General features: G+C 42.3%; 2 long non-coding RNA genes across 2 annotated transcripts in view; one reads left to right on the forward strand and one right to left on the reverse strand.

The window, feature by feature from the left end:
- LINC00393 (long intergenic non-protein coding RNA 393) overlaps positions 1 to 13,469 on the reverse strand; it is a 116,003-nt gene that overhangs the window by 18,343 nt on the left and 84,191 nt on the right. The window lies entirely within an intron of this gene.
- The window catches only part of LINC00392 (long intergenic non-protein coding RNA 392), a 23,636-nt gene continuing 10,167 nt past the window's right edge, over positions 1 to 13,469 (forward strand). The window contains exon 1 of the long non-coding RNA NR_047009.1: positions 1 to 59. This is a non-coding gene — a long non-coding RNA (long intergenic non-protein coding RNA 392). The remainder of the gene's footprint in view (positions 60 to 13,469) is intronic.

Consider the following 13,469-nt stretch of genomic DNA (forward strand, 5'->3'; position numbering starts at 1 on the left):
CATTTTCATCTTTGTGTCCTTAGTACCTACCATGGTTCTTCGCACCTAATGGAATTTCAGTAAGTGCTTGTTAGAGTGAATATTGGTTTTCATCCAATGTATCCTCCTGGGATCCCTAAATACATAACCAAAGGGGTTTCATATGACTACATATTTTACACTTCTATAACAAGAAACAAAATTTGCATGTAAAAGATTAACATGACTGAATTATTTCTTGGTATTTGCAAGGCACTTGACAGTTTTTATGAACTGGCTATTCATCTTGAAAGCTCTACGGAAAAGGGATCTTTAGAAATTTACCGATGCAAAACCCAAGGAAGAAAAATGTGCATCGATCCTAACAAGGAACAGTTTTCCCCGGAGTTTAAAACAGATATGGGAGTTTAAAACGTAGGGAAAATCATCCATTGCGACATAGAATACAAACCTAGCTTTTCTAAGAAAGAGTATGAACAAATGGTATGAGGAGGAAAAAAAAAAAACGTACTGAAGTAAACTCAAGTGACCTCAAGAGGTCTTTGGGTTTCACAGTTCACTTGGCCACCCAGCTTTCTCCCAGTTTTCCTCTAGAAACCCAAAGACTTAGCAACTTAATAGCGAAGCCCAGTGCCAGATTACCCGGTGGACACTGTTAACCCATGTTGGCAGCACCGGCAAATCAGAAACACAAAAATTATTTGTTAAAAAGTGATATTTCAAAAAGAATTTTAAAATAGGCACCCCAGAAATCAAAATCCTCTTAGTCACCTTTTTCTCTTATAGTTTAGAAATTTTTTTAAATTCTGAATTATAGATAGCAGGGTTTGAGGAAGCCTCACTAGGTGATGATATAGGGTCTCTAAAAGACCAACCCAGGCAGGATTTAGTTATAAAGTTTGGCAATTTGCTTGATTCTTGGCTAAAGTTTTTACACCTTTTGAGTAATCATACACATAGGCAAAAATAATAACTCTATAAAGAGAGCAATCAAAACAGCCATAAGTATTCATCTAACCCATATTGAATACCACACATAATCATTACAGCACAGTTAAAAGTATTTCGTGCTCATAATGATGCTCAGGACTATTTCTGACCCTTAGCTCTCTCCTCCCCACCCTGCCACTATCAAGCTAAGACTGGAGGTTTGTTAGCTAATGCTTATCTGAGTTTCTCACTGGACCAAGATGGTAAGGAGGAAGGGAGCAGCACAGAGTCAGGAAGAACAGTGGACTTAGGTGTGAGACAGATCTCACTTTAAGTCCTGGCTCTCTTATTAGCTGTGTAATCCTAGGGAAGTTTCTTAAAGCCCCTGATCTTAAAATAGAGACAGTAATACCAACCTCATAGAATTGGTGGGAAGATTAAAGAGATAAAATATGTGAAGACCTAGAAAATATGGGAAAGCTGCCTCAGTACAATAAGTAGGTATTCAATCAATGGTAGCTGCTGCCACACAGTCATTACAGCTCAGTTTCCTAGATCAGAAATTATTCATTTATTCATTTAATACCTATTGTGCACATATCATTAGCCAAGTACTCTGTTAGGTGCTGAAATGGGTTATAGATTTTTCCTGATGTGGGGGAAAAGGTGATATGGAAACTGGAATTGAGAAAAAGATATGTAATGTAATAGGAAGTTGCTCTGAGTTCCTTGACAGAGAAGGCTAGATATTCCTGCTTCTCTAGTCTTAGCTTGATAGTGGCAGGGTGAGGAGGAGAGAGCTAAGGGTCAGAAATGGTCATGAGCATATGAAAAAGATCAAAGGGTCTGTAAAGTTGATGAACCTATGACAAGGCAGAGTTAAAAGAGGTATTTCTATTTCATGCACAGTTTCTCTATTTTGAACTTCTCTCACAAGGAGTTTGCTCTATTCATTTACATGCTAAAACCTGGCCTTTACTAAGGTTGTTTGGACCTCATCTCCAAACAAAATGTGTTGGGGAGAGAAATCAAAGTAGTTCTCGCCTCTCCCTACAGCAGAGGAGAGTCTGCAAGTTTTATTTTTTCCCTCCTCTGTCCCTATTATGAGATAATTCTACTCAAAAGAGAACAGTCCAGTTGAAATCAAGAAGTATATGCCTACCTGTAATATAGCCAGAAATATGACCCATTGAAGTTTTTTTTAACATTTGTAATCAAATGCCACAAGAAACTATAGACTGTGCCAGCTATTACAACCTTACTGTGAATGTGTTTATTTCTCTACTGTCTCCATAATTCTTAGCCAATATTTGAGGGAATGAAAGTTTTTCCAGAGATGATAGGCTTTAATTCTCCCATGAGAAACCTGAAAGCTCTAGTTATCTCAGTGTGGAAGGTGGAATAATGGCCCTCAAATATATCCACATCCTTATCCTTGGAAACTGTGAATATGTTAGCTTACATGATAAGAGTGATTTTGCAATGTGATTAAATTAAAGATCTTGAAGTGATGAGATGATCCTGGATTATGCAGGAGGGCTCAGTCTAATCACTTGAGTCTTAAAAACTGAAGAACTTTTCTTAGCTGTGATAAAAGGAAGAGATTCGACTATGGAAGGAGGGTCAAGGAGATACTAGACTGCTGGCCTTGAACATGGAGGAAGGGAGCCATGAGCCAAGGAACAGGTGGAGCCTCTAAAAGCTGGAAAAGGTGAAGAAACAGATTCTCCCCTAGAGCCTCCAGAATGGCTGCAGCTATGTCAACACCTTGATTCTACCCCAGTAAGACCTGCATTGGAATTCTGGAACTGTGAAGTAATACATTTGTGTTATTTTAAGCCAATAAATTTATGGTAAATTGTTAGAGTAGCAATAGAAAACTAAGTCACAGCAGGGCAAGAAAGTGAGAACTTTAGGTAAGGAGGGAGGAAAGAAATTCAAGGCAGACCAGTGGGAAGGTGAGAGGAGACAACCTCCGTCCCTCGTCCAGAGACTGTACAGTAAAACACCATGCTGCTGCTATGGACAAAATTAGAAGCCGGGTATTAAAATATAATAAGTCATGGTCACATGCTTGCTTACTTTGAAAAAACTTGATATTGCATTCCAGGGCATTTCTTCGCTAAAGATCTCTCTTCTTAATGTATATCACTATTTCTGTTTTATTACTTTCCTAGAACTTCTCATGAGGTATCACCATTTTAATTCTCTTCTGGATTATTTTTAATACGTTCTTTTATATTAGAATATAAGCTCCCTTATTCTGCATTAGACTGTAAGGTCCAAGACTCAAAGGACTATGTGTGTCCCTTCATCACTGTATTTCTAATACAGCAGAAGGAATGGGGCAGAAGACTGACTTCACATCTGTCTTCTGAGCCTGCTGTCTGGACACTCCAGGCGGCTACTGTCCTCTTAGCCCACGCAGACTACCATGGTAGTCTAAGGAAGATGGGTGTGGACAAAAAAGGAAGTTTGTCCTTAAGTAGTTCATGATCAAGAAATTGATTTAGTTACGGCAGCTAAATCATTTATTAAAGTTCATTTTGTTTTATTCTTTGGGCTAACCTTAGTTTTCAGATATGTGTACCACCAAGTGTTAACTTTTAATATGACTGTGGAACAATTTTGAGAATCAAAAAACCAAAGTAGTCACCATACAAGGGTAAGACTATATCTGGTTTTATTCAGTGAATCAACTTGATATACAAAGTTCTTGAAAATTTTAAGGAAATTGATCCTAAGGGGAACACGAAGGCCAGTAGATTGGACTAGCCAAAGGTCATACATAAAAAGACTGGGTGGAGTTGGAAAACAATCTAGGACTCATGATTTTTAGTTTAGAAGTTTTTTTTTTTTTTTTTTTTTTTTTTTTTGCCTTGATTTCCTTAAGCATCTTCTTTCCCAGCAGGCCCATTTGAAAGTGGGCGTGACCCAGATAAATCCTATTTTTTCCAACCCTCTCCATCGACTCCTCCAAAAAATATGTCTATATTCATGAAATCAGGTGAAAATATTTGTGCGCCTCAGTTCTTATAATCACCACTTAGTCAAGTGGAGAGGTGGGAAGAGGTCCTTCCTCATTTGCTGCCCATCCCAGCAACCTGGAGCACGTGCCAGAAGGCACCGCCCAGTGTTGCCCAAGAGGCCCATGTTTAGTCCTTTAAAAGATGCCCAAGAGTCAGACCCACCCACAGGAACTAGGTTTATTGCCCTTTCCTTCTTCATCTCTTCTCTCCATTTCCTCCCTGTCTTCTTACTGAAATCTCATGATAGCCCTTAGACTGTGGTTGTGGTCTCACCCCTAATTCAGCTCTTGGCCTTGCTCTGTTCTAATATCCAGAAACTGATTCTGGCCTTCCTGCATTACTTCCCCTCTTGCATCCTAGACAAGGCTTGATATTCATCTCTGGCTTCCCAGCCAAGGACGAGTTTGCTCCAAGTTTTAGTCTTATTAACTCAGCATGTGACAGGCTCTGTGTGCTAGGGACATCTCTCTGTTTTCTTATTTTTCTTTGTTTTTTCACCTCCAGTGATAATTAATGGATGGGGTACTCATAATAGAATTCTCCTCTTTTTTTTTTTTTCCTTTTAAAAATGTTTTCTTCTTAGAAACCGGAAATAGAATGGAGGTGACTGAGGGCTGCAGGGAGGGTGAAAAAGGGAGTTGTTGTTTAATGAGTATGGAGTCCAGATTTGTAAGATCTGGAGAACTACAGAACTATAGTTGACCCTTGAACAACATGGAGGTTAGGGATGCCAATTTCCCCTCCCAACTCCGTGCAGTCAAAAATCCACATATGACTCTCCCAAAACTTAACTACTCTCCAAAAACTTAACTACTAATAGCCTACTGTTGACTGGAAGCCATACTGATAAACTGTCAGTTAACACATATTTTGCATGCTGTATGTATTAGATACTGTATTCTTACAATAGAAAGTAGAGACAGAAAATATTATTAAGAAAATCATAAGAAAGAGAAAATATTTTTACTATTCATTAATTGGAAGTGGATCATCCTAAAGGTGTCATCCTCATCATCTTCATGTTGAGTAGGTGAAGTAGGAGGAGGAAGAGGAAGAGGAAGGGTTGGTCTTGTTGTCTCAAGAATGGCAGAGGCGGAAGAGGTGGAGGAGGTGAAAGGAGAGACAGGAGAGGTAAGCACACTTGGTGTAAACTTTTTTTTTTTTTTTTTTTTTTTGAGACAGAGTCTCACTCTGTCACCCGGGCTGGAGTGCAGTGGCACGATCTCGACTCACTGCAACCTCTGCCTCCTGGGTTCAAGTGATTCTCCTGCCTCAGCCTCCCAAGTAGCTGGGACTACAGGCACGTATCACCATGCCCAGCTAAGTTTTCTTGTATTTTTAGTAGAGACAGGTTTTCCCCGTGTTAGCCAGGATGGTCTCAATCTCCTGACCTTGTGATCTGCCTGCCTCAGCCTCCCAAAGTACTGGGATTACAGGGGTGAGCCACCGTGCTCAGCCCACTTGGTATAACTTTTATTGAAAAAAGCTCATGTATAAGTGGACCCACACAGTTCAAATCTGTGTTGTTCAAGGGTAAATTATATATTCACAACAATGTGAATATACTTAACACTACTGAACTGTACAGTTAGAAATAGTTGAATTTTATGTTGTGTGTATTTTTATCACAATTTTCTTTAAAAAGACATTTGTAAAGATGTTTTCTTCTGGAGCTCTGCTCTTTATGCTTTTGAGTGTTGAATTGGGCACCAAATTTAATTAAATGCACCTGGATTATTTCAGAAATAAAACCTACAAAATAGACCTATCTTTGGTATTTCTGAAATCATTATTTCTCACTTTACAAACTTGATCCCAAAAATATGGAAGTATACATTCCATGAATAATAGTTAAGCATCAACTAAACACTGCTAAACCCTGGCAGAAATTCAAAGATAAATTGCACACAAGCCTTACTTACAGAAGTTTATACTCTTAAAAAATAATAGCAACAATAGAGCTGCCATTTATTATGATTACTCTGTGCCAGGAACTAAACTATATGCTTTGTATACATTATTTTAAAAACTCTTTTAACAGCCAAATTAAGTAGGTAATTTTTCTCCAATTCTACAGTCTTTTAGTAGAGATGATATATACCTACTTGGAAAGCAAACACAGGACTAAGCTCTATTGAAAATGAGGCTAATGTATATTAATGTCTGTGTGCCAAGTAGAATGCTGAAAAATCTTACAGATGACATTTTATCTCCATTTTACAGATAAGAAAATTGAGGCTCAGCCAGGTTAAGAGAATTGCCAAAGGCCACTTAGCTAATAAGACACAGAGATGGAATATGAAACTGGCGTCTGGCTGATCCTCAAGGCTGCATGAATCTTTCTGCCCCACCATGCAGCCTTCCTGTACAGCGATAATACAAGTTAGAAAATGGTTAAGTGTGTTAGGAATTCTATATGAAATAAGGAGGAGATAAGAGAAGAAGCGATTTACCTCTAGCTGGAGTTGGTGAAGAAAGAAAAGTAATCTAAAAAAAGAAAAAATATAAGCAAAGAAGCAGAATGAGGAATGTAGAGTTTGTGTGTGGTAAACAAGCAGTCGAGCTGGTTGGAATCTTCCAGGCAAGAAGCAGAGCAATAGGAGATCAGACTGAAAAGCCACACAGGCTGGGCACGATGGCTCACGCCTGTAATCCCAGCACATTGGGAGGCCGAGGAGGGCAGATCACGAGGTCAAGAGATCGAGACCATCCTGGCCAACATGATGAAACCCATTCTCTACTAAAAATACAAAAATCAGCTGGTTGTGGTGGTGGGCGCCTGCAATCTCAGTTACTCGGGAGGCTGATGCAGGAGAATCGCTTGAACCTGGGAGGCGGAGGTTGCAGTGAGCTGAGATCATGCCACTGCACTCCAGCCTGGGCGACAAAGGGAGACTCCATCTCAAAAAAAAAAAAAAAAAGCCACACAAAATCCTGGGCCTGTGGGACCCTGATGTTAGTCTAAGGGGTCTGGACTTCAATACCTACATGGTGGAGAACCATTAAGATTTTGCATGCAGAGAAATTACAAGACTGACTAAACCCTGTGCTTTAGGTATATTCATCTACCAAAAGTGTCTAAAATGAACTGGGGAGGGTTTAAGAGAATGTGGAAAAAAAATAATGAACTGGAGAGGGGTTAAGAGAATGTGGAAAAAAGAATAGCTAAACTCATTCTCTCTCCTTAATTTTATCTTGTTTTAGGTTAACATTGGCCTTACATTGAAAACATGTCCTCAACAAAATCGAGGATTGAATAGCTCATTTGCCTGAAGCCATTTGTTTTTACATAAATAAATATAATTTTTTTAAACCTTTCCTCCCAAAAGTCTGTAGGTTTAAAACACAATTTGAAATTCCTTTTCCAGAGAGCAATCCAATTTGGCTTTTGTTGTTTCTAGTCACATATTATATGATTTTATTTTTTATTGAAAGCCTTTAGAATGGCTCACAGATGTTGCAGCTAAAATAGATCCTCCTGGAACTATTTGGTTTGAGAAAATCTCTGTTGCCATGGATTAAATTAACAGGAGATCTCTTGTTTAAAATTTAAGGATATTTTCATATGTAGGAAATAATATTCCCTTAAATTTATATAAGGCAGTCATGGGGGCAAGTTACATTTGGAAGGCTAATCAGGAGTCTACATCATTGCACTTAAAGTTGAGCTATGTCTGTGTTCATATTAGAGACCATCTCCCCCAAGAGAAAAGAGATCAACCAGGCTAATTTTTTTTTTAATAGAGTCTTGCTCTGTCGCCCAGGCTGGAGTGCAGTGGCATGATCTCGGCTCACTGCACCCTCCACCTCCCGGGTTCAAGCAATTCTCCTGCCTCAGCCTCCCGAGTAGCTGGGATTACAGGCACCTGCCACCACGCCCGCTAATTTTTGTATTTTTAGTAGAGACGGGGTTTCGTCGTGTTGGTCAGGCTGGTCTCGAACTCCTGACCTCAGGTTATCCACATGCCTCGGCCTCCCAAAGTGCTGGGATTACAGGTGTAAGCCACTGCGCCTGGCCTAATATTTTAATAAATTAAGAAATTTGTGTTCCTACTTGGTCAATTATACTGGAGAAATACAGTTATTAAAAACATCTATGGCTTAAATTATACATGTGGATATGCTGAAACTTAACAGACAATTCACCATTAGAAATAACTGAACAAAATGTTATCAATTTTAAATATCAGTTAAACATCAGCCAAGCCCTGCCCAAACTGACTTTGGAAGTAGGCAACACCCAAAATGAACTCCTTGGTCTTCCCTTTCTCTCTTCCCCTTAGTGAGCTTGCAACTAAGCTCGAGTCTTCATTGTCACCCACCTATGAGGGACTTACACATCTACCTCTCCAATTCTGGTGCATTCTTAAGACCTAAATCGACAATATTCTATTATGAATCTTCCCATGAGGCACTTGACACTCAAGATATCCAAACCAAATTTACTATTTTATCCACAACACTGTTGCTCCATATCTTGTGCCCAAAGCAGGATCTCCACATCAACAGTTTCTGGATTGTATTCCAGAACGCTATACCCCAAAAGATTAAATTATAAAAGAGATTTATGGTCAAATAAGTCTGGGAAATTCTACATATTATATAACACTTGTTTGGAGGTTTTCAATGAAAATTAAACTTCTAAAAGCTCTTAGATCTCCAGCAGTAGAAAGCATGTTTATTTTGTTTATCCCAGTATTTTATTTGATGTTTATCCCCTTTCTTGCATCACATCCATTAACATTCTGAAAAACTAGTGTTTGCGAAAGATACTTTTAGACAGCCACTGTAGATCATTTTCACTCCTTCTATCCCCTAGCCACTACTAAAATTCATCTCCTTGTGTAATTGGACATAAGAGCATGTCTCGAGTCAGGCTGCCCGAATTCATTTCCTAACTTCACCACTTACTATTCATGAGATGTGAGCAAGTTACACAATCTCTCCACTCAGTTTTTAGATCTTTGAAATGGTTCCTTCTTCTTAAAGCATAGTAAGGATTACATGAAATAATCCATGGAATGCACTTAAAACAGTGCCTGAAACATAGCACCCACTTAATAAATGTCCACTGTTATTACTATTATTGTTACCTCTAAAATGTCTCTCAAACATTTGCTATTTCCTAATGCCTTTGACACTTCCATAGTTTAGGTACTTATCACTTCTTTCCTGGACCATAAATAATAGAAATTTACACTTAGCTTTGTTCTTTATAAATTTATCAAATGTTTTCTTGTATATTATCCAATTAACCTGATAAGTATTTAATTTATTCTAATCACAGACTCTCTACTTTGCAATTCATTCACCACACTGCCATTTAATGCTTTTAAAACACAAATCTAATGATGCCATTCCTATGCTCAAAAACCCTTAATGATCCTCCATTATGTATGCAATAAAGGAAAGTAACAACTCCACCTCATGGTAGATACACCCCTGACTTCACACTTCACCACATAGTTTTATAATCTGGCCACACTGCACCAGTCTTCAAGTTTAGAATAAACAATGAACTTTCAGATCACCTGCCTTGACTGTTTTGTTTTGCCTTGAATACACTTCTTTCCTTCTTCTACTTGTTAGAAATCCTATTTGTTCTTTAAGTTTTGCTTAAAATTTCATCTACTCTATGATATGTTTCTCAATTCTATATTGCTCATTCTTTTCTTGATTCTACTGTATATGTATATATACTGCATATATATATAGTCATATATTTATGCTACATCTCACAGAACTAATTATCCAGAGACTCTTATCTATGTTAAAATGTGAGCTCAATGAGAGGAAATGTCTTATTTGTTCTTTTATACTTTACAAACCAAACATAATATCCTTACAAATATTAGGTGCCCATATAAACATTTATTGACTAAATTTTCCTATGTAGAAGGCTTCTTACCATTCATTGGTGTATATCACATCTTAAGCAAATATTACACCTAAAGGAGTCACGTGGTTGATAATTCTCCTGCCAAAAGTTTCCACTCTTTACAAAAGAAATAAAAATGGGATGCCTTTAACAGGGATGTGAAGTCTTTGCCGCCGCGCCGGCAAGCGCCGCCCGGGAGGCAGCGGCTGGAGGAGCGGACGGGCCCCGCGGGGCCCGAGGGCAAGGAGCAGCCGCCTGCCTTGGCCTCCCAAAGTGCCGAGATTGCAGCCTCTGCCCGGCCGCCACCCCGTCTGGGAAGTGAGGAGTGTCTCTGCCTGGCCGCCCATCGTCTGGGATGTGAGGAGCCCCTCTGCCTGGCTGCCCAGTCTGGAAAGTGAGGAGCGTCTCCGCCCGGCCGCCATCCCATCTAGGAAGTGAGGAGCGCCTCTTCCCAGCCGCCATCACATCTAGGAAGTGAGGAGCGTCTCTGCCCGGCCGCCCATCATCTGAGATGTGGGGAGCGCCTCTGCCCCGCCGCCCCATCTGGGATGTGAGGAGCGCCTCTGCCCGGCCGAGACCCCGTCTGGGAGGTGAGGAGCATCTCTGCCCGGCCGCCCCGTCTGAGAAGTGAGGAGACCCTCTGCCTGGCAACCACCCCGTCTGAGAAGTGAGGAGCCCCTCCGCCCGGCAGCTGCCCCGTCTGAGAAGTGAGGAGCCTCTCCACCCGGCAGCCACCCCATCTGGGAAGTGAGGAGCGTCTCCGCCCGGCAGCCACCCCGTCCGGGAGGGAGGTGGGGGGGGTCAGCCCCCCGCCCGGCCAGCCGCCCCATCCGGGAGGGAGGTGGGGGGGTCAGCCCCCGGCCTGGCCAGCCGTGCCGTCCGGGAGGGAGGTGGGGGGGTCAGCCCCCCACCTGGCCAGCCGTGCCGTCCGGGAGGGAGGTGGGGGGGTCAGCCCCCCGCCCGGCCAGCCGCCCCGTCCGGGAGGTGAGGGGCACCTCTGCCCGGCCGCCCCTACTGGGAAGTGAGGAGCCCCTCAGCCCGGCCAGCCACCCCGTCCGGGAGGGAGATGGGGGGGTCAGCCCCCCCACCCGGCCAGCCGCCCCGTCCGGGAGGGAGGTGGGGGGGTCAGCCCCCCGCCTGGCCAGCCGCCCCGTCTGGGAGGTGAGGGGCCCCTCTGCCCAGCCGCCCCTACTGGGAAGTGAGGAGCCCCTCTGCCCGGCCAGCCGCCCCATCCGGGAGGGAGGTGGGGGTGTCAGCCCCCCGCCCGGCCAGTCGCCCTGTCCGGGAGGGAGGTGGGGGGGGTCAGCCCCCCTGCCCGGCCAGCCGCCCCGTCCGGGAGGGAGGTGGGGGTGTCAGCCCCCCGCCCGGCCAGCCGCCCTGTCCGGGAGGGAGGTGGGGGGGGTCAGCCCCCCTGCCCGGCCAGCCGCCCCGTCCGGGAGGTGAGGGGTGCCTCTGCCCGGCCGCCCCTACTGGGAAGTGAGGAGCCCCTCTGCCCGGCCAGCCGCCCCGTCCGGGAGGGAGGTTGGGGGGTCAGCCCCCCGCCCGGCCAGCCGCCCCATCCGGGAGGTGAGGGGCGCCTCTGCCCGGCCGCCCCTACTGGGAAGTGAGGAGCCCCTCTGCCCGGCCACCACCCCGTCTGGGAGGTGTGCCCAACAGCTCATTGAGAACGGGCCAGGATGACAATGGCTGCTTTGTGGAATAGAAAGGCGGGAAAGGTGGGGAAAAGATTGAGAAATCGGATGGTTGCCGTGTCTGTGTAGAAAGAAGTAGACATGGGAGACTTTTCATTTTGTTCTGCACTAAGAAAAATTCCTCTGCCTTGGGATCCTGCTGATCTGTGACCTTACCCCCAACCCTGTGCTCTCTGAAACATGTGCTGTGTCCACTCAGGGTTAAATGGATTAAGGGCGGTGCAAGATGTGCTTTGTTAAACAGATGCTTGAAGGCAGCATGCTCGTTAAGAGTCATCACCAATCCCTAATCTCAAGTAATCAGGGACACAAACACTGCGGAAGGCGGCAGGGTCCTCTGCCTAGGAAAACCAGAGACCTTTGTTCACTTGTTTATCTGCTGACCTTCCCTCCACTATTGTCCCATGACCCTGCCAAATCCCCCTCTCTGAGAAACACCCAAGATTTATCAATAAAAAAATAAATTTAAAACAAAAAAACAAAAAAACAAAAAAACAGGGATGTGAGCCAATATCTTTAAGTAAAAACAGTCACATGGAACTTTTGCAAAACACGCCTACAACACACACCTGTGTCCACCAACCTACCCAGGATTCTGACTTCCTGAGATATTACCATGTTTTCCTTGGGATTATCTTGGAATAAATATAAAGGCCAATTAATATACTGGTGCTATAAGCATATTATATCTTCATTTTTCCGATGAAGGCTACCTGGTTGGCTCTTGGAGAGGTGATCTAATCTATAGTCTCACTCCCTAATCTAAGTTCACTTTCAGGTCAGATGTCCCCAGTTTGTTTCTGATTCAATGATCTCATCTCCTTCAAGGGAGCTACTCATCCTTCAAAGGACTGCTATTAAAAAATCACGCTGGCGACTTACCTTACCTACTCCAGAGGAAATTTTCCAGCTCTGAAGTACAGTATTCCCTCTGTGTATTATTCTCCACAATTTCTTCCCTGGCTCTTGATTGGTCTTGGAAATACTGGCTAGTAGTAGCAGGAATAACTCTTTCCTAAACCTTCCATTTTCCTACAAGTGCATTTAATTAATCTGTTTCCCAAAGAAGTTTAAATGCTTATGCTTGAAAGCATATTTTCAATGTTTTTCTTACTTTATGACTGCCACGGGACTTACGTATCAGATTTAATTAGGAGACATCTATGGGGCATAAAAAGCTCAGGGCCAGTGTTGTCCATCACACTGTCTTTGTTTATCCTAACCTTTACCAAGTCACATTTATTATGCACAATCTAATGCACTGGACTTCTTAGCCATTACTGCTTCCCATGACTTGGATAGTTGGATTCCATCTTGTCAGTTAATAATAAACTATTATCTATCCCTATGATACCTCTGCCAAGAGCTTTTCTCCAGAAATTACTTTATAGTTATTATCTAATCTTTATAAAACCATGGAGGAAGTTTTCCCATCTAACAGACGGTAAATGATTAAGGAGCAGACAGTTACAGAGCAAGGTGACATGGCAATTAAGTGATGGAATAATACTGAGTGTTCCCAATGTTAATTTTCCATGGTTTAATCTGCAAACCTCATAATATTATCTGAGTTTAAGTTTGTGTAGAATGGCCTCACTTTCCATACAAATCATTAACTGGGATTAAAAAAAATGAAAAGATGCATAGAAATGTATGGAAGAGAGTTAAAAAGTAGTCTAGTCTTTAGAGGGCTATGTGCTGATTTCATTATTGTTGTTCACCAAGTCTGGCTGGGATTCACATATTTATTGAAACAATCACTTGATTACAAAAGCAGTTACAACCACAGGAATAATTACGTACATAAAGTTATTATGACATTATTTAGAAATTTTGTATATTACCAAAATAATTTTGAAGGACCTATTTTACCTTTTGTAAGTTAAGAAATGTTTTAACAATATTTTCCTACAATGTTTGTATTCATTTCAGTAGTATACTCTATCTTTTATTAATAATTTG

The sequence above is a fragment of the Homo sapiens genome, chromosome 13 (genome assembly GCF_000001405.40).
Source record: "Homo sapiens chromosome 13, GRCh38.p14 Primary Assembly".
In the NCBI taxonomy this organism is placed as follows: domain Eukaryota; kingdom Metazoa; phylum Chordata; class Mammalia; order Primates; family Hominidae; genus Homo; species Homo sapiens.